At 40.1% G+C, this 24,893-nt stretch overlaps 1 protein-coding gene across 1 annotated transcript, besides 6 other annotated features; it reads left to right on the top strand.

The window, feature by feature from the left end:
• Positions 3,818-4,616: an enhancer, noted in NCBI's record as "H3K27ac hESC enhancer chr14:54907701-54908499 (GRCh37/hg19 assembly coordinates)". NCBI's record gives its function as "activates a minimal SCP1, AML or CMV promoter by ChIP-STARR-seq in primed H9 embryonic stem cells {active_cell/tissue: H9 hESC(primed)}" and the evidence as "EXISTENCE:reporter gene assay evidence [ECO:0000049][PMID:30033119]".
• Positions 3,818-4,691: a biological region, named in NCBI's record as "H3K27ac hESC enhancer GRCh37_chr14:54907701-54908499".
• Positions 3,882-3,941: an enhancer, noted in NCBI's record as "active region_8410". NCBI's record gives its function as "activates an Ori minimal core promoter by ATAC-STARR-seq in GM12878 lymphoblastoid cells {active_cell/tissue: GM12878}" and the evidence as "EXISTENCE:reporter gene assay evidence [ECO:0000049][PMID:35858748]".
• Positions 4,022-4,291: a silencer, noted in NCBI's record as "silent region_5763". NCBI's record gives its function as "represses an Ori minimal core promoter by ATAC-STARR-seq in GM12878 lymphoblastoid cells {active_cell/tissue: GM12878}" and the evidence as "EXISTENCE:reporter gene assay evidence [ECO:0000049][PMID:35858748]".
• CNIH1 (cornichon family member 1) lies at positions 4,225-22,038 on the top strand. Its single transcript, NM_005776.3, has 5 exons — positions 4,225-4,352; positions 9,162-9,230; positions 13,379-13,491; positions 15,195-15,338; positions 17,758-22,038. The coding sequence occupies exons 1-5, from the start codon at positions 4,272-4,274 to the stop codon at positions 17,783-17,785; spliced, it is 435 nt and encodes a 144-aa protein (NP_005767.1). The 5' UTR covers positions 4,225-4,271; the 3' UTR covers positions 17,786-22,038.
• Positions 4,332-4,691: a silencer, noted in NCBI's record as "silent region_5762". NCBI's record gives its function as "represses an Ori minimal core promoter by ATAC-STARR-seq in GM12878 lymphoblastoid cells {active_cell/tissue: GM12878}" and the evidence as "EXISTENCE:reporter gene assay evidence [ECO:0000049][PMID:35858748]".
• Positions 4,702-4,751: a silencer, noted in NCBI's record as "silent region_5761". NCBI's record gives its function as "represses an Ori minimal core promoter by ATAC-STARR-seq in GM12878 lymphoblastoid cells {active_cell/tissue: GM12878}" and the evidence as "EXISTENCE:reporter gene assay evidence [ECO:0000049][PMID:35858748]".

Genomic DNA, 24,893 nt, shown 5'->3' with positions numbered 1-24,893 from the left:
GCGCAACCATGGCTCACTGCAGCCTCCAACCCCATGGCCTCAAGCAATCCTTGTGCCTCAGCTTCCTGAAGTGTTGGAATTGCAGGTGTGTTCTACCTTGCCCAGCTTAATTTAAATTTAAATAGTCACATGATTAGTGGCTCCTGTATTAGACAGCACAAGCCTAAAGTTTACCTGTGTGCTCTGGTAATATGTGAAGGGGGCTTCATCCTACTGCAGCTTATATAACTGTGTGAATCAGTCAGCACTCCACCTGGCATAGAACAGGTGCTCAACAAACCTTTGTTGAAATACCTAAAATGCTACCCTTGAAGAAAGTTGGTGGGGAACCTGGGTTTTATGTAACCGCTGTAGGGGTTGAGGCAGGCAAAATTTCTCTTACAAATTTCCTTTCTCCTCAGGTGAAATAGGGGTAGCCCCTTCTAATTAAGGGTGGGTGCCTGGGAGACAGTTTCATTCTATGAGATAAGGTGCTAGCCTAGTCAGCAGAGAAGGAAAACACACATTTCAAGTGAAGCCGGAGAAAAACTTGTTGCCAAAAGGTAGGATTTCTTGGTATCTGGTGATGAAACATCATTTCCCAAGTTGTAGATGGGATTCATCTGGAAAAAGGGGGTTCGATTTCATGGTTTGGCTTGAGTAGTTCCCTGCAAACTCTCTCTCCCGAGCCCAGAAAGCTGCATCTGCCTTTCATTAGATTGTGAGTTCTCTTGCATAAATATTGCCTGATGCTGCGTTCTGCCGTGCCCGTGGCCTTAAGTACTGAATTAAATATCATTTGCCTCCTTCTTCGCTTTCACCAGGGCATCCAGTTAATCAAGTTCAGCTGAGCTTGTCTCCCAACTACTATCAAGCATGTTTACCCCTTTCCTTCCCACCTTCCACTGCTCTAGTTCAGATCCATAGCAACTTTTGCTTGGACCATTGCCGTGGGACCCGATTTCCAATCTAACACTCCTCTAATCAGGGTCATTGTGCACAGTTGGGCAGTTTGTGCACTGCACATAGGTGCACGACCAGGGTTGGTGGGGCTGAAGTATAGCTTGTGTTCCTACACTCTGGGGTGGGCCTCTGTCCATCTGCAGAAAGTAACTTTACAAAAAATGTTATTGGATTTTATTATTTTAAAAAAGAAATAGAGATGAGATTGTGCCTGGAATTGGTGGGTTCTTGGTCTGACTTCAAGAATGAAGCCACGGACCCTCGTGGTGAGTGTTACAGCTCTTAAGATGGCGCGTCTGGCGTTTGTTCCTTCTGATGTTCGGAAGCGTTCGGAGTTTTTTCCCTCCTGGTGGTTCGTGGTCTCGCTGGCTCAGAAGTGAAGCTACAGACCTTCGCAGCGTTACAGCTGTTAAGGCGGTGCGTCTGGAATTGTTCGTTTCTCCCTGTGGGCTCGTGGTCTTGCTGGGTTCAGGAATGAAGCTGCAGACCTTTGTGGTGAGTGTGACAGCTCATAAAATCAGTGTGGAACCAAAGAGAGAGCAGTAGCAAGATTTATTGCAAGGAGCGAAAAAACAAATCTCCCACACCATGGAACTGGACTTCAGCGGGTTGTCCCCGCTGGCTCCGGCAGCCTGCTTTTATTCTCTTATCTGGCCCCACCCATGTCCTGCTGATTGGTAGAGCCGAGTGGTCTGTTTTGACAGGGCGCTGATTGGTGCGTTTACAATCCCTGAGCTAGACACAAAGGTTTTCCATGTCCCCACCAGATTACTTAGATACAGAGCATCCACACAAAGGTTCTCTAAGGCCCCACCAGAGTAGCTAGATACAGAGTGTCCATTGGTGCACTCACAAACCCTGAGCTAGATACAGGGTGCTGATTGGTGTGTTTACAAACCTTGAGCTAGATACAGAGTGCTGATTGGTGTATTTACAATCCCCGAGCTAGACATAAAGGTTCTCCAAGGCCTCACCAGAGAAGCTAGATACAGAGTGCACATTGGTGCATTCCCAAACCCTGAGCTAGACACAGGGTGCTGATTGGTGTGTTTACAAACCTTGAGCTAGATACAGAGTGCTGATTGGTATATTTACAATCCCTGAGCTAGGCATAAAGGTTCTCCACTTCCCCCCGAGACTCAGGAGCCCAGCTGGCTTCACCCAGCATATCCCACACCGGGGCTGCAGGTGGAGCTGCCTGCCAGTCCCGCGCCGTGCACCCGCACTCCTCAGCCCTTGGGTGGTCGATGGGACTGGGCGCCATGGAGCAGGGGGTGGCGCTCGCTGGGGAGGCTTGGGCTGCACAGGAGCCCATGGAGGGGGTGGGAGGCTCAGGCATGGCGGGCTGCAGGTCCCGAGCCCTGCCCCGCGGGAAGGCAGCTAAGGCCCGGTGAGAAATCGAGTGCAGCGCCGGTGGGCTGGCACTGCTGGGGGACCCAGTACACCCTCTGCAGCCACTGGCCCGGGTGCTAAGCCCCTCATCACCCGGGGCCGGCAGGGGCGGCCGGCTGCTCCGAGTGAGGGTCCCGCCAATCCCACGCCAACCCGGAACTCCAGCTGGCCCGCAAGCACCCTGCGCAGTCCCGGTTACCCCTCGCGCCTCTTCCTCTACACCTCCCTGCAAGCTGAGGGAGCTGGCTCTGGCCTTGGCCAGCCCAGAAAGGGGCTCCCATAGTGCAGCGGTGGGCTGAAGGGCTCCTCAAGTGCCGCCAAAGTGGCAGCCCAGGCAGAGGAGGCGCCGAGAGTGAGGGAGGGCTGTGAGGACTGCCAGCACGCTGTCACCTCTCAAGATCTCATTACCTTGTCCAGGCTGGTCTTGAATTCCTGAGCTCAAGTGATCCTCCTGTCTTGGCCTCCCAAAGTGTTAGGATTACAGGCATGAGCTGCTGTGCCTGGCCAAAAGTAACTTGATAATTTGCACACAGGTGCCACATAATCCTGGTGGTACAGGTTGTACTGTCCAATACACTAGCCACATTTTACTTAAAGTGATGTGAAATTTAAAGTTCAGTTCCTCAGTCATGCTAGACAATTTACAAGTGCCCAATGGCCACATGTGGCTAGTGGCTACTGTATTGGGCAATGTTTAGGTATCGAAAATTTTCACCATCACAGAAGGTTCTATTGCACAGCACTGGACAGACCCTGCTTCTAAACTATTCTACGCAATTTGCTAGGTGAACGATCTTTAATGCAAATCTAAACATGGTCTTCTTTTGCTCAAAAGCCTTCAATGATTTTCTCTTCCATCAGCAGCAATCAGTTAATAGAGTTTTTTTCTTTTAAAAATGGTTGTAATGGAAAGTTAAATCAATTTTGAATCAATTTTGTGTGTTAAGACCAGCATTAAAAACAAGTAGCAAAAGAGAGAAGGGAAAGTACTTATGGATCATTAGTACAGTTTTGTGAAATTTTTGTTTTGGTCATATCTATATTTCTTTGCCTCTATAACTAGATTTCCACCTCTTCATAACTTGATGTCTGTATGATATTCCACTGGGTTGCAATGAAAAAAATCTTTCTAGTTGTGTGTGGTGAGCAAAAAATTTGGGCTTATGGGATAAGAAGTCTGAGCTCCGTAATGAAGCATTATAAGGCCCTCTATGATCTGATCCCTTGCTAATTCATTTCTAAGTCTCACCACTGTCTTGCACTTAGGTTCCATTAATACAGAATTGCTGCTGGTTTCACCTGAGACACGAAGCTTTATTTTTCTTTTCTTTTTTCCATCTCTGTTGCGTTTCCTCATTCTGAACTGTTTCCTTGGACTGCCAGTTCTACCTTCTTTTTGCCTGGAGAACTTATCATCATCTAAGGCCAACTTAGGAAACACCTACAGCAGGAATCCTGCCTAAATGCTCCAGGGCGGGCTGGCTGTCCTTCTTTGACCTTTCAGAGCATCCCACACACATCCGTTTACGGGGTTATAATAACGTAATTATTTATTTAGGTGTTCATTTCCGGCACTATACTAAGTTCTTTCAGTGCAGGTACTATCTTATTCATCTTTGTATCTGAAGCGAGAAGCGCGGTACCTGTAACAAACTAGGCATTCATTCAATAAATATTTGTTGAAAGAATAAACGCAAGAAGGAAGGAAAAATCAATCAACAACTGTGCGGACAATGTCAGTGCAACGCAGACTCCGGCCATCAGAGGGCGCCGGGGCGGCTGGGCTGGTGCGCAGGCGCGCTGAGAGGGCTGGCGCCGCGGCGGTAGCGGTGGCGGTCGCGGCTGTGGCCGGGGGAAGTGAATGGTTTTACCCAGAGGGCCCTGCGCCGCCTTTCTCCGCTGGCAACGGCGCCGCTCCCCGCTCCTCCTCCCCAGCCATGGCGTTCACGTTCGCGGCCTTCTGCTACATGCTGGCGCTGCTGCTCACTGCCGCGCTCATCTTCTTCGCCATTTGGCACGTGAGTAGCTGGGGCTGGGGAAAGGAGGGCGAGGCGGCAACACAGCCTCTTTTCGCCCCGGGCCCGCGGTCCGGGCCGCCACGGCCGCCGGGGCTTTGCGCGTCGGGGATGCGGCCCGGCTGGCACGGGCCGCGCGGCGAGGGGTCTGGGGGCCGCGGGTACTGGAGGAGCCGGGGCGCGCAGTCGCCAGGTGGACGCGCCCGCGTTGCCTCGGCACAGGCCGCGCGCACCGCTACTCCTCCCCTACTGGATGGGGCGGCCGCGGTCCAGGCGGGCGCCCGCGGTTCCGCGCTGCGTTCGCACCGACCTCTGCCGGCCCGCGGCCCTGCATTCCCGGGGAGGATGTCGACAGCGCGGTGGGACGGCCGTAGTGTGAATGAAGTTTTCCGAATTTTTGTTAATACAGATTGACTTTCTTTTAGGGTTTCCACAGAACTGTGGCCAAAATGTAACCTACTTAGGGTGAATTTCCAACTCTACTTTTCAGCACTTGTTCGGTGCTCTTCAAATCAAATCACTTTTTTTCTCTTTTTCCAGATTGTTGTTTCCTGGTGAACTTTGATGCAAGTTCAATTGATTACTTTGTTGATTGCATGTGCGCGTTTCCCCCCCAAATCATACTTTGACCGCTGGAGTTTCAACAGGCAGCTTTCCAAGCCACCCTTATATTCAGGATTGCTTGATTTAGTAGAGGGAGTTTTCATTTGATTTTGAGATGCTCAGAAACCTTAAGCTTTTCTGGGGCAGTATTTATTTCTGTTACACACATCATCATCACTATTGCAGGGTGGAAGCACAGCCTTACTGGTCCCTCTAAGGAAAAAGTCGTAAGTTCCCTGTGACATAGTTCTACAGAGATAAGAATTTCTGTTGCTTTAGCACAAAATTAAAAGCCTTGAGAGCCTTCTGGAAATCATTCATTAAAAATTTATCTCATACTTGCTTCTCTTTTCCCCATATTCCAGTGCCTTCTGGAATGTTGCTTTTAATTTGAATGACCGCGTTCACTCTTACGTAGATTTTAAGTCAGGTTTCATCATGCCAGTAACAAGGATTTCTATGAAACATACGGAGGGGCAGAATGATTAAACAGCAGCAGCGTCTTGTGCAAAAAAGTCTCGAAAGTGGAAGCATATCACAAATCCATTCCTTTTTGCTAAGCAGTGTGATTATGTTTACAATTATTTTAGGACCTGACTGCTTATTGTAATCAGGAATACTTATGTAGGCTATTAACTGTGTCGGAAATAACTGCTACCTCAGAATGCTTGTCAGTAGGAGCAGTAATTTGAAGAGCATCTTCAGCCCTGCTTTGATGGAAGAACAATACCTAAGATAATTTGGGATACAGACTAGCTCAACCTTAGTAGGCCTCTGATGAAAATGTGTGGTTCCATGGCCGGGCGCGGTGGCTCACTCCTGTAATCCCAGCACTTTGGGAGGCCGAGGCGGGAGGATCACGAGGTCAGGAGTTCGAGACCAGCCTGGCCAACATGGTGAAACCCCGTCTCTACTAAAAATACAAAAAAATTAGCCGGGCATGGTGGTGGGCGCCTGTAATCCCAGCTACTCGGGAGGCTGAGGCGGAGGAGAATCACTTGAACCCAGGAGGCAGAGGTTGCAGTGAGCCGCGATGGCGCCACTGCACTCCATCCTGGGCGGAGACTCCGTCTCAAAAAAAAAACAAAAAAAAAGAAAGAAAGAAAGTGTGTGGTTCCATTCCATCTGTAGATGTAGCTTTAAGTCATTCTGCTTGATGGGTATTCCTTTTTTCTGGGATGATGGGGATTCTTAGAGTGGTGGGGTAGGCTTTTTCACATTTTTACGTTTTGAACCAGGTTGTGTTTGGCTTAAGGAAAACCTGAACCGCACTTTCAAAAAATGGGTAATTTCAGCTTAAACAAATGCGTGTCTGGGTGAAGTAAATAATTTTAAGTCGTGTTATACAATGAAAAAAAAATTATACCGCAGATTCGTGGAGAGCTTTTATGCTTAGGGATTTCTTCATTCAGAGAATTAGTATCCTTTTGGAAACAATTCTAAATAAATAGATAGTTTTAATTTTTCTATTACCCATATAACCTTATGTTTATCATCTTAGGTAGTATCTTAGTCCATTCCTTTATAGTGTTTATAGTGTTGCTATACAGGAATACGGGAGGCTGAGTAATTTACAAAGAAAAAAGAGGTTTATTTACCTCAGGATTCTGCTGACTATAAGACTGGGCATCTGGTGAAAGTCTCAGCCTGCTTCCACTCATGGTGGGGGAGTAGTGTGTGGAGATCCCATAGTGAGAGAAAGCAAAGGAAAAAGAGGGGGAGGTGCCAGGCGCTGTTTACAAGCCAGTTCTCTTGGGTCCTAATGGCAGGAGAACTCACTTATTCCCTCCAAGATGACACCAAACCATTCATGAGGGATCTGCTCCCATGACCCAAACACCTCCCGTTAGATCCCGCCTCCAACATTGGGGATCAGATTTCAACCTGAGATTTGGAGGAGTTAAACCAAACTCTAGCAGGTAGTTGAAGTATCTTTCAGAAGACTCATTTTACAATTTTTAAATTACATTCCAAAAATCTTATTTACATTAATCACTGTATTAGAGAATGTTTTTTATGCTGATGATTATATCTGTCAATTTAGTCCTAATTCATGTCATTGATGCTCTGTGGAGAATAGAGTCGGGAGCATAGATTGTTTGAAAAATTAAAAGCTTAAAAGTCATTCCTTAAAGATGTGTATTAAATTGGAAGGTATTCTGAATTGTGTACTTGGGCATCTTTAGGGATTTATCTGTTTTATTTTTGTTATACTTCTGTAGGAAATTTTGTGGGTGTCTTTGCTCAGCCACATAGCTGCAAAAAGATTTGAAAATCATTAAGAATATTCTCAGAAGAGGTTCGAAAACCCTAGCCTATAGCACTCAAAGAGAAACCCATTCAACAACATAGTTAAAAAATCCCTGTGACCAGGCACAGTGGCTCATTCCTGTAATCCCAGCACTTTGGGAGGCCAAGGCAGGTGGATCACCTGAGCTCAGGAGTTTGAGACCAGCCTGGGCAACATGGTAAAATCCCATCTCTACAAAAACTACAAAAATTAGCCAGGCATGGTGGCATGCACCTGTAGTCCCAGCTACTCCGGAGGCTGAGGCAGGAGAATCATTTGAGCCGAGGAGGTGGAGGTTGCAGTGAGCCGAGATTGTGCCACTGCACTCCAGCCTGGGTGACAGAGTAAGACCCTGTCTCAAGAAAAAAAAAAAAAAAACCCTTGAAGTCACCTGGAGAAAATGTCCAATTAAATGTCAGTTTTAAAGACAAGTTTTGTATTCTGTTAAGTTGGATCTTGTTATAGACAAGTACTTATGATTATCATCCTTGTCTTGAGCTTTATTACTAAAATGCATTGGGGTTATATACCACGGCTGACGTCAAGTAGCAGACTAATAACGTCCATAAGTAATCAGAAATTAGTATTTTCTAATTACACATGTATGTTTTTAACATTTGTGTTAGGTGTCATTAGCCAAGGGAAATCCCCCTGGTGAGTTCTGCATTTTTTTTTTTTAATCCCTAGTGCTATTTTTTTCACCCCCTCCTTCCAGTTAATATTTATTGAACACTTAACTATGTGCCAGGCACTATTTTATATTTTAGGCCCTGGGACATAATAGTAAATACAACAATCTTTGTTCTTTCAGAGATTACATTCTAATGTTTTATTATTTTCCTTCTATTGTTGTTTGGTTGGAGTTTTTATTAGGGCAGGTGGGTGAATTTTATGGAACTCTAGAAATTAAAAAAACCGTCTTTTTATGAATCTAAATTTTAACAGGGAAATAAACAGTCATGTTAAAAGATGGAAATATGTAACTTTACTGATTACTGATAATATTGAGCAACACTTTCACATATAAAGATACTATTCCTAACTCATTAAGGGAAGGGTAGCTTAGTTTGTGTGTCCCTGGGGTGAGTAGTGTTAGCAACTAAAATGGCTCCCCCATCAACTTGCTGCCTTTGTTTTCTTTCTTTGTCACCTGAAATGATGCCACAAAGTGGTGCAGAGTCCCTATTTTGACTCTTAATGTACATTCTAGTGACCCTTGAGGTTGAAGCCACATTCCTCCAGAGTGTGGACAAAAGCATCCTTACAAATGTATGTGTTTGGGCACCAATGGGAACACATTGAAGAGTTCGAATCCATCTCTAGTGTCCCACTGAGCACTGTGCCAAGGGAGGAGGAGCATGCACAGATAAATAAAAATGGTCCTTCTCCCTGAGAGTGTAGAGGGGCAGACAGACCTGTGTGTAAATACCACACTCCAGGGTGAGAAAAGCCATATCGATGGCATTATAGAGTCCCATGCTGTGTGGAGATGTGGGCAATTACTTCTGCCCAAAGGAGTTAGGAAAGCCTGCAGAAAGAAGTTGACCTAGGAAGGTTTGTTTTTTTTTTAGGATAAAGAGGAATTTGGATAAACAGTTGAAATTATTTTTCTACTCAGAAGATTATTTCGAGTAGAGATAAGTTGAAATAACTTGAGCAGAGGCATTGACGAAATTGAAAATTGAAGGTATTTATTACAGTAATACCAAATTTTAGTGATACTGAGATAAGAGTGTTTTCACTTTAAATCGCATTCTGGTTCTTTTTGTCATATATGAGTTTACTGTAAATTGGTATTTGGGATCTTGGTGTACTTTTGTTCTTGTTTTATTAACTTTAATAATTATTTGAAGATGGGGCAGGTTTGTTGCTGCTTTTAATTAAAGTGAGTGGTCCTAACTGTTTTAATTTTATTTTAGATTATAGCATTTGATGAGCTGAAGACTGATTACAAGAATCCTATAGACCAGTGTAATACCCTGAATCCCGTAAGTTATAATATAGGATTTATCTTTAGATTTTAAAAATATGTTTGTTTTTAACTTGAAGTAATTTGAAAATGGCCAGTATTCTGAGTAGCATAATATATTTGTACTTTTTGAAGTAGGCAGAATTTAAAAAATCTTCTTTTTCCTGTCGTGCTTGACTATTCTATTATTAATCTGCTGGTGATCTTGTCAGCTGTCATACTAACATTCTTCCAATCTGCTTTTTACATTGTCGGCCAAAGACAGTTGAAAAGGTCAAAAAGATTAAAAGAGTCAAAATTGCATTAAAGGTGTGTACTGCTTTTTAGTTAAATGTTTTAATGCTATATTCATTTCATGGGGAGGGTTAGGGCATTTGTATTTGTAACGTTTTGTTCAGTGTGCTCGTTCATATGCCTGTTGAGGTTTATGATTTCATGAAATTTCATATTTTATGCAAATATATGCTTGCTGGCCCAGTCAAGTAGGGAAAGCTGTTAAATGCGTATGCGTTTTTTTATGTTATAGCCATAGGCACTTCTATGTGAAATTATTTGGTGTAGTACTTGAAAGTTGGTTAACATAAAATGACTAATAGATGGTGAGATGATTCTCGGGTTGTGACTTATTGTGAGGTAGTATGTGAGTGAAATCTTTAGTATGGACTTATCTGCCATATCTAGTTTTATCTTTGGTTTGCATATTCTGGAATAAATGAGTCATTCTTTCAGCTGATGTTTATTCAGAGCCTGTTAGGTGGATAGCTCTGTTCTGGGGGCTCTGGGATCTCGCAGCAATGCCATTCTTTGGACTTAGGGTGCCATAATTTTGTAGATAACAATTTGTATACAAATGTCTATGTGGTTATTTCTAGTGTGTATCTACTTTCTGTTTCTAAAACAGGCCTGAATTACACTGAGTTCTGAGCCATCATGAATTTAGTGATAATGTAGCTCCATTGTGCTTAGGGTTTTTGAAAAAATATATATGTATGTATTTTTAAATTTTCTTTTGAGATGGGGGTGTCTCTATATTGCCCAGGCTCTTATCAAACTCCTGGGTCAAGTGATCGTCCTGCCTCAATCTCCTGGGTAGCTGGGATTACAGGCACACACCAGGGTACCCAGTTTGTTTTTTTGTATTTTTGCCTGCATTTAGGAAGATACTCTTTTAGCCTGTGTATTTGATTTTGCCTGACTGGTCAGTAATTGAAAGGTTGGTTGTTTATAAGAAAGCAGTGGGTATGTCTTCAAGAAATAAAATACAGTAATTCAGCTTTAAAAATTACTTAACGAAGGGGAGAGTTTGTGTAGATTTTAATTGTCTAGCATACTAGTGTACTAGCACTAGGTGCTAGAGGGATTTTATTTGGAAAAGCATCTAGAAAGTTAGTTTGGTACTTTATTATTGTTTCCCAGATAAATGTGGATGGTGGAAGAGATTTCTAGTTTGTCTTTAGAGAACTGTTACAGTAAGAGTTGATGTAGGTACAATTAAAAGTATTAACTTATTAGCTGTTTCTTTGCTCTTATGAAACAAGACATAAGAAGATGAATTTGCCTTCTCTTGGAAAGCATTAAGTGTTAATTTTAAAACATCTTAACCTAAGTAGTTGAAGTTGTTACCAGGAAATGAAGAAACTGAAATTTCCCCTTTTGATAGCTGTTTATTAATAGTATTCTGTGCTGTTTGTCTTTTCATTACTTCAATAACCAAATGATGATGAAGGTAAAAATATTTGAAATCAGATGAGGATTTTCCTGGGTGCTAGGCTCTGTGGTAAGCACTTTGCCTGAATTTTTAAATTTAATTCTCATGACAATCCTGAGGTAGGTAAATTGTTATCTCATGAATAGGAGAGTAAACTGAAGCTTTGCCAGGTTAAAGCACTTTGCCGAATGTTATACAGCTAAGATAGAGTCAGAACTTGAACTCAAGACAGCCTAATTTTTGAAGCTCAAGTTCTTGTATTTTCCTAATGTATTGTAAATTTAGGAGGGACAGGTTTCATTTTAACAGGTAATGTGCGATTCCTGGCTTTTCTTAACGGAAAGAAATTCTCACTGAGAAGAGACATGTGCTTGGGACATCCTAATGCTGCAGGAGGTTGAAGGACGTTTTTATAGCAGCACAGGTTGCCTTTTGGATAGGGTGCCAATAATTGGCTGAATAGCAGTGCATCTGACAGTTTTCCCTATTTAAATTTGTTTTGACAGTTCTGCCAAAGTATGGGGGAAGACAAATATCACTATTTTTTAAATTGTGAACTTTAACAAGAGAATATTATATTTTGCATGTTTAAATGTTATCATTTCAGCCATATTTGCTTGAGGTTTTTTTTCTGGATACTAGTTTCTGTTTGAACCTTGGTTCCTAAATTGAATAATTTTTGTGTCTCTTATGGGGAAATTTTGTCATTAAAGAATGCTCGGAGAGGGTTGGTTTTTAAGAGAGATGGGTAGTAAATGTTTCTGGACTCCTTTTGAGGAGAAGGGAGGGAATGGCATTGTTTCATATTAGAACTGGTAGAGTTGTAGATTATCTTTATTAACACTTTTATTAAAGTAATATTAAGAGCGGGAGGGGTTCATGCTTTCAAAATCATTCTTTCCATACTTCATTCTGTAAGTGTAGGATAAAACCTTGCATGAGGATTTGTTTGTTAGGTATCAGATGGCTTTTTAGGGCTGAAATAGGCTTATATTTTAAAGACAACGTCTGTAATTTAAACAAGTATTATAAAAGCAACTCTAGTGGAATTCTTAATAAAATGTATATTTTTCTTGGTTTGTTCTGGTTATAGTCCTTGAGTTTCAGAGTCCTATGGCCCTTTTCTTGTTTAGAGAACTTTGATCTTAAATAGATGCTGGCTTAAATGTTATTTAGAAGTTTAGGTACATATGCCGAGTTTATCCTTTGTTATTGTATTGCTTAAGTTTGTAGAAAATATTTGGTTAGTGGTGTAGATGAGTTGTTTACCTGGATTTTTTTTAAAAATAGTATTCATTAGAAAGTCCCCTCTACAGCTTTAAATTGGAAAGAGTAATTTGGGAGTATGAGAAAATGGGTCTGAGTATGTAGTGTGATTACAATATCTACAGCCATGGTTTCCCCTCAGGAGTGATCTGATGATGATAAGTATTCATATGATTTCCATTTGGTATGAAGTAAACATTTGAGAAACTGGCTTTGTAGCTGTGACTTACAGGAGATACTTCGGCTGAAACTTGCAATGAGAGGTTTTGGTATTTTTATTTAACAAAGTCCTCAGGCTGAAATCTTTAGGATGAGAAAGATAATTTAACATAAAGCATTAACTCCTGGTCATTTTATAAAAAGCATTTTGCTCGAATTAATTTTTCTTCACTTAATATTACCTAGTACCAAAAGGTTTATTTTGTTTTTGGGTTCTGAGCTTCTACTGGTCTTCTGTTGTGTCTGTAGCATTTTGTTGGCAAGCAGGGGTAAAGAAACGGAAAGGCCACCTAAGAATGAGAACTTGGGAACCTGGAAAATCTTAATTTCATGGTTAAGAACTCAGTCTTTTCCCTCCTACATTGCAGAAAGCGAATCTTTTACATTTGCGCATATTAGTGTTCTTCCCCTCACTGTGCTGAGATTATTGGCTGATTGGCTTTCCATTAAAAAATTACTTCTGTGGGAATGCAATGTGGTTTGCTAAATATTGTGTATGTAGCATTTCTGGTTTTTGTTAAAGGCTTAAAAACACTGATATGTAAAATTCCAAAGGGGAGTTTTGTTTCTGTGGAATTTTTAATATGTTGCATGTGATCAGATATCTCATTTTTGTACTTCTATCATTGTTGAATGGTGAAAAGAAAAAGTATTCTAGTTGACTAGCATATTGTTTAACAATCTGGGTGGTAACTTTATATAATTTGATCTGTTTCTCTAAGGATTTGAGCTTTGAATTTTAAGTCATGTATCTTACTATGTTAGTGCAAGCTATATGCTCTGGTCAGTTTGCCTGTAATCCTACTTTTGGTAAAAAGTTAAACATGGAAATAAAACTCAGTAGCATCTTTTATTTCTGAGTCTAAGAAAACAGTGATTTTTCATTATGGAAACTTGGTTGCCACCTGCTTTCCAGATTAGTAGTTGACTTAATGCTGAGGCATTTTGATAACTGGCTTGTGTTTTCCTTCCAGCTTGTACTCCCAGAGTACCTCATCCACGCTTTCTTCTGTGTCATGTTTCTTTGTGCAGCAGAGTGGCTTACACTGGGTCTCAATATGCCCCTCTTGGCATATCATATTTGGAGGTAATATTTAGATACACTTTTAATATTTTTTTAAATTAAAACTTAAATATACTGTGGTTGATATGGTTATCTTACATGCTAGTCACCTACATAAAAATGGAAGATCAGTTGGCATTTATTTTTTTAAAAATCAAGTGGGTGAACAAAAACTATTTCAATACCTCATATAGAGCTTACTTTATTTTTAAAGGAATTTTTTTAAAAAGTGAAGTATAACTTAGTGTTGTGCACAAGTCTGAAGTATATAGCTCAATGAATTTTTACATACGTATACACCTGTTAAACTACCACCCAGATCAAGATACACAACAGTTGTAGCCTCCAGAGCATTCACTTATGCCCCATCTTAAGTCAGTTACCCTCCACACCTCCCAAGACCACTGACCTCTATCAACTTAGATTAGCTTTGCTTGTCCTTGAACTTCAGGTAAGTCAAAATGTACAGTATGTGTCTAATTTCTTTCTGTGTTTATGACTAATTTTGGTTATTTGTAAAAGATAATATTTTATAACTTCCATAGTAATATCTGCCGTATATAGAGTTAGAAGTTTTTGTTTTAAATAGGCATGTCAAAACCTTATTGCCCTTGATTTTAGGAGACATATACTGAAGAAGTATTTAGAAGTAAAGTGTTATCAGGTCTACAATGGACTTTGAAATGATTCAGAAAAAAATGTACTTGGCCGGGCGCAGTGGCTCACGCCTGTAATCCCAGCACTTTGGGAGGCCGAAGTGGGTGGATCACAAGGTCAGGAGTTCAAGACCAGCCTGGCCAAGATGGTGAAACCCTGTCTCAACTAAAAATACAAAAATTAACCAGTAGTGGTGGCGGGCGCCTATAAACTCAGCTACTTGGGAAGCTGAGGCAGAGAATTGCTTCAGGCTGGGAGGCAGAGTTTGCAGTTAGCCAAGATCGTGTCACTGCACTCCAGCCTGGGCAACAGAGCAAGACTCTGTCTCAAAAAAAAAAAAATTTACTCAGGGCCAGGTACAGTGGCTCATGTCTGTAATCCCAGCACTTTGAGAGGCTGAGGCAGGTGGATCACTTGAGCCCAGGAGTTGGAGAACAGACTGGGCAACGTGGCAAAACCCCCCTCTACAAAAAAAATTAGCTAAGCATGGTGGCGTGTGCCTGTAGTCCCCGCTACTTGGGAGGCTGAGGCAGAAGGATTGCTTGAGCCCAGGAATCTGAGATTGTGGTGAGCCAAGATTGCACCACTATATTGCAGCCTGGGTTACAGGGTAAGACCCTGTCTCAAAACAACAACAACAAAAAAACAAAACAAAAAACCAAAAAAAACCAGTACTCAGAATGAGAAAGAGAAGGAGAAAGCAAATATAGTAAAAATGGACATTTGGAATATCTGGGTGAAAGGTTCTTGTATCTTTTCTGTAAGTCTAAAATTATGCCAAGATAAGTAAAAACAAAACACCTATTTTCTTTTTACAGTTCTTCCTATTTTTCATGGATTTCTGAAAAGGCAGAGACTAGAAGAAACTTGTTTAGCTATCTCATTCTGCTCATTTAGGGGCTCTACTTTTAAAATTAAGATGGTAAAAGGAAAGCATTTTACCCATAAGTAAAAGAATGCTTCCCTTTATGGACCACCTCTCGTAACAGATGTTTTAGAAGAAAGACCTGCTTTCTTATCTGAACATTTACTGCCCTTTCTGAATGCCTAATAGACTGTGTTTATTCCAGGTATATGAGTAGACCAGTGATGAGTGGCCCAGGACTCTATGACCCTACAACCATCATGAATGCAGATATTCTAGCATATTGTCAGAAGGAAGGATGGTGCAAATTAGCTTTTTATCTTCTAGCATTTTTTTACTACCTATATGGGTAAGTTGAAAAGGTAAAATGAAATATGCTTTCACTTTGCTGCTTTAAAAGTTTGCAGGCATTATGGTTTTCACACCTCAAAATCCATTTGAAGAATAACTTAGTGTCTTAAGTGTGCATGGTGCACACCAGCAAATTCGCACACATTCAGTGTGGCCCACACTGGTGCTTGTCAAGGCAGTAAACCAGCCTGCCATCAGAGGCAGAAGGTTTGGTCAGGGATGCTGCTTCATAAGTTTTCAGACACATTCAGTCAGTAAAGGATGGTCCTCATTCTCCATGGCAAAGTGATGTCATTGAAGGATAGGGATGTGTGAGTTTGCAGAAATTTCTGCTTGTCTTCAGGGTCTCTCCAGACATTATGTTTCATTTTTTCCTTATCATTCTTCATAAGTGGTGTGCTCTGCCCTTTATTTTCTGATTTGCTTGATTTGAGTGGTATGAATGAAAGAAGTAGTTCTACCTTACAGGGTGGTGCAGTTTCCGATTTTTGTTCTTTTTTTTTGAGTCGGAGTCTCTGTTGCCCAGGCTAGAGTGCAGTGGCGCGATCTCTGCTCACTGCAACCTCCGCCCCACCAAGTTCAAGCAATTCTCCTGCCTCAGCCTCCTGAGTAGCTGGGATTACAGGCGTGCACCACCACGCCCGGCTAATTTTTGTATTTTTAGTAGAGACAGAGTTTCACCATGTTGGCCAGGTTGGTCTTGAACTCCCGACCTCAGGTGATCCGCCCACCTTGGCCTCCCAAAGTACTGGGATTACAGGCGTGAGCCATCGCGCCCAGCCTGATTTTTTTCCTTTTATACTCTCATGGACTCATTGTTCCTCTAGGTCAGGGTGTCTCAGCTTCGGCACTGTTGACGCTTCTGGGCTGTGTGGGAATTTCTGTGGGAAGCTGTCCTGTATATCATGGGACGTTCAGCAGCATCCCTGGCCTTTACCCACTAGTTGCCATGAGCACCCTCCTGCCCCCTCATGACAACCAAAAATGTCTCTGGACATTGCCAGATGTCCTGAGGGGCAAAATTGCCCTGGGTGAGAACCACTGCTGTAGGTGTGTTGTAGGTGCAGTGAAATGACTGCTTATTAAAACTAGAAAAGGACACTGTTAAATGTAGAATTATATATTTCTTTAAGCTATGTGAATATACTTTTACACATCACTTATATAAAATACTTTCTCATTTTTTATTAATACATACTCAACTAGAGAGGACTTTCTCCTTGATTTTCAGAATATTTCCAAAAAAGCTGTAAGCTTTAAAAAACAGCATAAGCTTCCCTTCTCTTTTTCATTACTTGAAAACTTGCTAAGATAGGCTTATATTCATATTCATATTTCTCTTCATACATAAGTTTCCATCATAGAAAAGATGAATGGTTAGACTGAAATTTAGGAAAAAGGTATTTTTGGTATTTTTATGCCTTTAGAGGCTATTACTGTGAAAATGAGTATCCTTTAGTGCATATGCAGATATTACTCATCTATGAAACAAAGAAGTGCTCTGAAAAGTGAAATTCTATGTGTCACTTTAATTTCCTGTTAATTTTCATTTCATAAGTTTCCATAGCAAATGTCTGGAACGGGCTGGTGTATGATAGGCACTTCATACGTATTTGTTGAATGAAAGAAATGAAATGAATGATTGAATAAATGATAAAGTTGGAGATGTGCAGTTGTGGGAAAATGTTCAGCAGGATATGGTAGCACCAGGACATTTGTTGTGTTTTAAGGTTGTCTATCAAGCTTGTTCAACTCCTTTGTATTTCTGTTTAGAGTTATGTGCTTTTTGAATCATGCCCCTATGCCGTTCCCATAGCACTCTGTAGAATTGCCCTTGGCAGTTCTTAAACCTAAATCAAAAGGTCATTGCCTTTTATTTTGCTGTTTTCCCCCCTTTTCTTTTTTAACCACTTCCTAAAAGTTGCTATTGCTTAGATCCTTTCTGTAATGGGAAAGATCCTTGATTGATCATTCCTTTCTATACAATGGGGATACACATGGTACCTGCCTTCTAGGACTCCTTGAAGGATTAAGCAAGGTAATGTATATAAGAGACCTAACAGGGCCTGGCGTGAAGTGAGCCCTCCAGAGATACTCATTCTATTATTAGACACAACTCCAGAGTGTGTGATGTTTGGATGGCTTCTCTAAGCTCTGATCCGCCATTAAGCTTTCAGCTGTGCCGTTCTACTTGCTAAAATTGGAAGGGAATAGGGGACAACTACAGCATATGCACTGAGCCAAGTCATATGTTAGGCAAAAGTCCATAAATGCAAATTAAAATCACTGTGAACTTGTCATTAGTCTTGTCATTTTCTGTGATACTAGTTTGCTATATAAAGCATACTCTCTCATGCTCTGAGTTTTTTTTTAATAATTAGTAATGTTCAAATTAACATCTTTTTTCTTCTTTTCAGCATGATCTATGTTTTGGTGAGCTCTTAGAACAACACACAGAAGAATTGGTCCAGTTAAGTGCATGCAAAAAGCCACCAAATGAAGGGATTCTATCCAGCAAGATCCTGTCCAAGAGTAGCCTGTGGAATCTGATCAGTTACTTTAAAAAATGACTCCTTATTTTTTAAATGTTTCCACATTTTTGCTTGTGGAAAGACTGTTTTCATATGTTATACTCAGATAAAGATTTTAAATGGTATTACGTATAAATTAATATAAAATGATTACCTCTGGTGTTGACAGGTTTGAACTTGCACTTCTTAAGGAACAGCCATAATCCTCTGAATGATGCATTAATTACTGACTGTCCTAGTACATTGGAAGCTTTTGTTTATAGGAACTTGTAGGGCTCATTTTGGTTTCATTGAAACAGTATCTAATTATAAATTAGCTGTAGATATCAGGTGCTTCTGATGAAGTGAAAATGTATATCTGACTAGTGGGAAACTTCATGGGTTTCCTCATCTGTCATGTCGATGATTATATATGGATACATTTACAAAAATAAAAAGCGGGAATTTTCCCTTCGCTTGAATATTATCCCTGTATATTGCATGAATGAGAGATTTCCCATATTTCCATCAGAGTAATAAATATACTTGCTTTAATTCTTAAGCATAAGTAAACATGATATAAAAATATATGCTGAATTACTTGTGAAGAATGCATTTAAAGCTATTTTAAATGTGTTTTTATTTGTAAGACATTACTTATTAAGAAATTGGTTATTATGCTTACTGTTCTAATCTGGTGGTAAAGGTATTCTTAAGAATTTGCAGGTACTACAGATTTTCAAAACTGAATGAGAGAAAATTGTATAACCATCCTGCTGTTCCTTTAGTGCAATACAATAAAACTCTGAAATTAAGACTCACTTTCAGTGCATTGTTTGAGATTAAAAATAGTATTTCTTAAACTTGCTTAATCCATGATAAAGACATGTTGCTGTCATTTTTAAAAAGTGACGTACTACATTATGGGTTTTCTGAAAAATACCATGCCTAGATCTAAAAAGGAAAATTTTTAAATGCCGAGCACATTAACCTCTTTTGTCATTTGACAAGATTCATAAACGTGGATGGCATAGCATCATCATTTCTCTTACCAATTAAGAAAAATTATGGTGGCACTTAAAATATTTTACTTTGATTTTTCCTTTTTGGAACAGTCAGTTTTAAGGTAAAATGGCTTGTAAATTTGAGTTTTTGCTGCTGCTTGTAAGGCAGGTAAATTATGGCTTGCATGTTTTCATAAGCATAAATAAATCTTGTGCTTTATTTGGGATGAGGAAGTTAAGGCAGTTGAAAATAAAATAAGTGGTTTGGAAGTTTCTTGAGAAGAGGATCAAAAGAAAGAGAACCAATATATAGAAATTTCACATGATCAAGGAAGTTTATGGATGCGTTTGTGGAAATCTTACTCTATGAACTTGTTGGATTAGATGCTGTTTTATTCTCTACTAAGTGAAAAGTGCTTTATTTCAGTGCTTTCCCATGGTTGGGAGAGAGTAGCTGTTAACTATTCTGGGTAATGGGGGTGAGTATGTTGAGGAAGAGATTTAGAACCAGAAGAGTGAAGAGACTCAAACTGTTCCATAACAAGGAAAGCTTTAAAGACCTTGTATTTCACAGTCTGGAGAACTAGAGGGATCTGACTCTTGGTCAGTTCATGTAACAAATTATTTATTGAGTACTTGCTGGGCTCTCAAGATTCATGCTTTGAGCACAGGCAGTCATTCAGTTTCCAGTCCACCTGATTACATCAGCATGCACTTAGTTTTCTTTCTTGTTCACAAGGACTTTTGATCATGCAAGACCTGGCCAAGTCTTCTATAATCCAGATGGGTTTCCTGGGGCTGTTACTTGAGTATTCCTGTCAAAATATTTTCGTGAACCCTGCCTCTCTTAGCAAACACTACTTCATAAGTGTTAACAAACATCCTTTTAATAATCTATTCCAGAATATTCTCCAGGAGTAAGTTTACTGGTTGGGATTTGTGGAAGCCATTTTCTCATGTTTCCCAAATAAGATATGTAGTCTTCAGCTGATTCCTCAAAGATGATTGACAGGGAGTTTCACCCATCTTTGTGGTAGTTTGTGAGTTCCTAGGCATGTAAGTGATTAAAAGATTGAGTACCTGCTCTCCTAATATCTACCCACTTTTACCATGTCAGTGTTTTATGAATTAGATCACTTACCAAGAGAAAGCAGAAACGAAATACTTGAATCTGACAATATCCGACTGGCTCTTTTCATTGCTCTGGATTTATTTTCCACATCAATCTCTTTGGGGTGGCCCTAGCCTATTATTCCTGTGGGTTCAGCTGAGGCATGGTTAGCCTGGGTTTATAATTCAGTTTACGTTAAACATTCCCTGTGCAGCAACAGCTGTTCATTTAGGTACTCTTTTTTTTTTTCTCCTTATTACAGTTACTTTTGGTATTATGTGCTTTATCTTTAAAAGCTTTCTAGCTCTAGGAAATTGTTTTCCCTGTTTGTGTCTATTTTATTGCATCTTGTGTAACACTGTGGTTATATCTATACCAACAACTTTTTGTTGCTATGGATACCACAGATTGTCCTGAATTAAAACCCTAACATAATAAATGTCTGTTTAGCCGTTACTTTACTGAGTAATAATACTATATTGTGGCAGTATGGCCCTTTAATACTAAGGAGGTATGGTGTAGAAATTATTTGAACACTCATATCCAAATGTTATTAATGATGTTTGACAGTTTTCTCAATGCTTAATGATATTCCTCACTCCTCATTCCAGGGTAGAGGAGGGTTTGGTCCCAGGCTATGGACAAACTGCTAATTTGTTTGAAGTTTGAATTATTTTTCATGGGAAAGGGAAGTGATAGGAAATGACCAAGACCATCCACTTTTGACTTGAGTATGGATCGAGTATAAGTAATAGTTTCCTAGCCTCACTGATTGTACCATGAACTGACAGACCTACCAGTCAAATTCATGTACCCAGATAATGGTCTCTCACATGGCAACAAAGTACACAGCAGTTTGCAGTATGTGTCTCTTTTAAAGCCAGTTCAGTGTTTTCACCTTGACGACCACTCCTGCAAACAGTTCTCATAGAGCTCTTCTCTGCTCCCCAAATCAATATATTTTGAAGCTATGTCAAATATTTACATAGAAAGGAAATAAAGTTGTATGTGCTTTGAAACCAGCAAAATCCTTTGTACAACACCTCTCTTCTCCTTCTATGTTTATGAATAGAGTTCGTGGAATATTGCCATAGTGCAAATAATGACTTCCGTGTATCACTTATACCCTGTAGGGGTGAGCTTTCACCTTAGGTGTGGTTATATCCTAGCAGTGTATCAAGCCCACTCAAATAATGGTCTATATTTAAAAGTATGTGTCTAGTTTACTTATTTATGTCATTTAACATCCATAAATGTACATCTCTCAGTTGTATATCATGATTGTAAATCAGAAATTTTGATGGCAAAAATATTCTAAAACAACATTCTTCAGGGGAAAGAAAAACATGGATACCTTATCTAGCATTGCTCATAAAAGTACTCATGTTCATCCTTTTTGGAAACTATTAATCATGCTAGCCTTAGATCATTTTAAGCTCCTTTGCTCAAACCAATCATTGATGTGCAGTATGACCAGCAGCTAGTAAGTCTGTGGTGCTACCAGTATAGCTTGGAAGATGGTTCTGAATTAATACCTCAGAATGATATCAAAAGTAAAAGAGTGGTTCTATTGCTAAATATATTGACTAGCTTTCTTATAACAATTTTACTTTGAAATTCAAAGTTCCAAAGCTAAATGTCTAAAAGAAGTAACTGCAGCTTGTTCTGCTGATTTTGGAAAATAGTATTAACCATGTAAGATCTTTGGGGTTGGAGTGAAGGTCTTATCTGCATTAATTTTGTTAATGCACATTGTAGATGTGGAGAACATCTTGACCTGCATAAGGATTGCGTCTCATTTTATTGTGTAGTGCTTTTTCGAAATATTTACATTTCTTTGGTTCCCATGTTCATGTATTCTGGAGAAGTAAAATTTCTTGATTACTGGGCAGACCCTAAAACTACTAAGAGAAACATAACATGTAGTTAGCTGTCTGCTCATGGTTTGTTCAAATCTAAGCTAACCTTAATGGTGCTGTGTCCGCTGTCCACAGAAAACGCCCTTAAGTAGCCCTACCTTACTCCTTAGAGCTTATTTTGCTTTTGTATTTAATAAAAGCTGTCTTAAATGTTTCCTTGTGTAGTTTATGCATAATGGTTGAGTCTGTGTGTTAATTCAATTTCAAATGCCACTAGTTTGTGAATGACCAGGACTCTGATTCTCTCTCCGCCCTCTTTCCTCATTGTTTTGGGGAATATCACACAGGTTAGGTAGAGAAAATACTTTTCCCTGGAATGCTGGAATCTTTAACTGGACAATTATATTTTAGTAACTGACATCTCATGTTTCTTTGTTATAGAATAGTTGATGTTTTCCCGTATACTTAATATTAAAGTGGTTTAGTCGAGCATTTTAAAAAATTTTTAAATTTTTTTTTGAGACAGGGTCTCACTGTCTTCCAGGCTGGAGTGCATTGGTGTTATCATGGCTCACTGTAGCCTCTACCTCCCTGGGCTCAAGTGATCCTCCAACCTTAGCCTCCCAAGTAGCTGGGACCACAGATGCATACCACCACACCTGGTTAATTTTTGTATTTTTAGTAGAGACAGGGTTTCATCATGTTGCCTAGGCTGGTCTCGAACTCCTGAGATCAAGCGATTTGCCTGCCTTAGCCTCCCATAAGTGCTGGGATTACAGGCATGAGCCACTGCGCCTGGCCTACTGAAGCTTTTTAAATGTAGAGGCTTAAATAGCACTTGCCGTGGGAATTGAGAGATGCAAGTACTTTCAAAATTCAGTTGATTATTAAAGTATTTGATTAATCCATGCCAATATTTTCTCTCAATTTTCTAAGTATTCATGAATAAGTTATGTATTTATGTTGAGAGAATGATAATATATATGCTTCTCAACTTGCAATGGAATTATCTCCGGACATCATAAGTTGAAAATGTAAGTTGCAAATGCATTTAATGCACCTAACCTACCAAGCATCATAGCTTAGCCAACCTTAAACGTACTCATAACATTTACATCAGCCTACAGTTGGGCAAAATAATCTAACACAAAGCCTATTTTATAATAAGGTGTTGAATATCTCAAACATTGTACTGTACTGAAAGTGAAAACAGAATGGTTGTGTGAATACTTGAACTATAGTTTCTACTGAATACATATTTCTTTCATAGCATTGTAAAGTTGAGAAATCCCAAGTTGAACCATTGTAGATTGGGGACTGTAAAAGATTGGCTAATGTAAATATCAATGACTGTCTAAAGTTTAATAGAAATTGTGATTTTTAAATTGTGTATGGTTATAATACAAAAATCATGAAGAAGGCCAATCTGTTATTACAGTGTGTACTTAAAAAACATGCCTTCCTTGGGCCGGGCACGGGTGCCCACGCCTGTAATCCCAGCACTTTGGGAGGCCTAGGCGGGCAGATCACGACGTCAGGAGATTGAGACCATTCTGACTAACACGGTGAAACCCTGCCTCTACTAAAAATACAAAAAATTAGCCAGGCATGGTGGTACGCGCCTGTAGTCCCAGTACTCAGGAGACAGAGGAAGGAGAATCGCTTGAACCCAGGAGGCGGAGGTTACAGTGAGCCGAGATCATGCCACTGCACTCCAGCCTGGGCGACAGAGCGAGACTCCATCTCAAAAAAAAAACAACAAAAAAAAACTTTTCTTGCTATAACTTTTGGTATTAATTATATGAGAAAATGAAATCCCTAGGTTAACCATTTAGATACTGCTGGGATATGTGATCCTCCTACCTTCCTTAGTATCCTCATAAAATGTTAAGTTCTAGAAGCAGCGTTATGTATAAAAGTACAGTCAGCCGTCTGTATCTATGGGTTCTAAATCCGCTGACTCAACCTCAGATTAAAACTATTTGAAAAATAAATACTACAAATAAAACCAATACAGTATAATAACTACACATCATTTACATTGTATTCGGTATTATAAGTAACTAGAGATGATTTAAAGTATACAAATACTATGCCATTTTATATCAGAGACTTGAGCATCCATTTATTTTGCTGTTGGGGGTGGGGTGGGGGGTCCTGTAACCAATCCTCTGAGGATAACAAGGGATGACTCTATTAATATATTGATTTTATATTACAATACATACTAGTGCTCTGAAATTCCCAAACAGGCTGGTCATTGTTTTGCATTATTTTGTAATGAAATTCAAGCAGTTAATCAGCAGCAAGAAGAGTAGTGTGAGACAAAATAAGATGTTTAGTCATTGTATGATTTTTTTTTTTTTTGAGACAGAGTCTCTCTGTCGTCCAGGCTGGAGTGCAGTGGTGTGATCTCGGCTCACTGCAACCTCTGTCCCCTGGGTTCGGCTGACTGCAACCTCTGCCCCGCCGGGTTCAAGTGATTCTCCTACTTCAGCCTCCCAAGTAGCTGGGATTACAGGCGTGCACCACCACGCCTGGCTAATTTTTGTATTTTTAGTAGAGATGGGGTTTCGTCATGTTGGCCAGGCTGGTCTCAAACCCCTGACCTAAAGTGATTTGCTCACCTTGGTCTCCCAATGTGCTGGGATTACAGGCGTGAGCCATGACGCCCAGCCAGTCATTGAATAATTATTTAAAAATGAAATTTTGATGTAGTGAAACTTTGTCTTTTGTGGAAGTGCCTATGAGTCTGCAACCTGGTGGTCATTGCCAAATTGCCATTGGTTCACACTTGTAATTACCAGTAGCCAAGAGAGCCATGTGACTACTGTAAGCCCTACTGAAACCACTGACTGTTAAAACAAGTGTGTTTGTTTGACACATTGTGTGTGATCCTTGTCTACAGCCCAAATGACTGTTTTGGGTAACTCAAAGTTGAATTTAAAGATGAAAAAAGATAGGTTTCATAGTATAGGGGGAAGTGAAAGAGTGAGAGAGTTGGAAATTGTTAATCTGTAGCTAAATTCTTTATGAAATAAATGTGAAAGGATTAAGCTCATTCCGTGT

This window comes from Homo sapiens, chromosome 14, assembly GCF_000001405.40.
Source record: "Homo sapiens chromosome 14, GRCh38.p14 Primary Assembly".
NCBI lineage: Eukaryota > Metazoa > Chordata > Mammalia > Primates > Hominidae > Homo > Homo sapiens.
Note: the sequence above shows the minus strand (reverse complement) of the source record. Positions and strands in the feature narration are given on the sequence as shown.

Bases quoted from the DNA above. Each gene is read 5' to 3' on its own strand.
- CNIH1 (NM_005776.3), top strand. From the start codon at position 4,272: ATGGCGTTCACGTTCGCGGCCTTCTGCTACATGCTGGCGCTGCTGCTC. The intron at 4,353-9,161 runs GTGAGTAGCTGG...ATTTTATTTTAG, and splicing joins TCTTCTTCGCCATTTGGCAC to ATTATAGCATTTGATGAGCT. The intron at 13,492-15,194 runs GTAATATTTAGA...TGTTTATTCCAG, and splicing joins TTGGCATATCATATTTGGAG to GTATATGAGTAGACCAGTGA.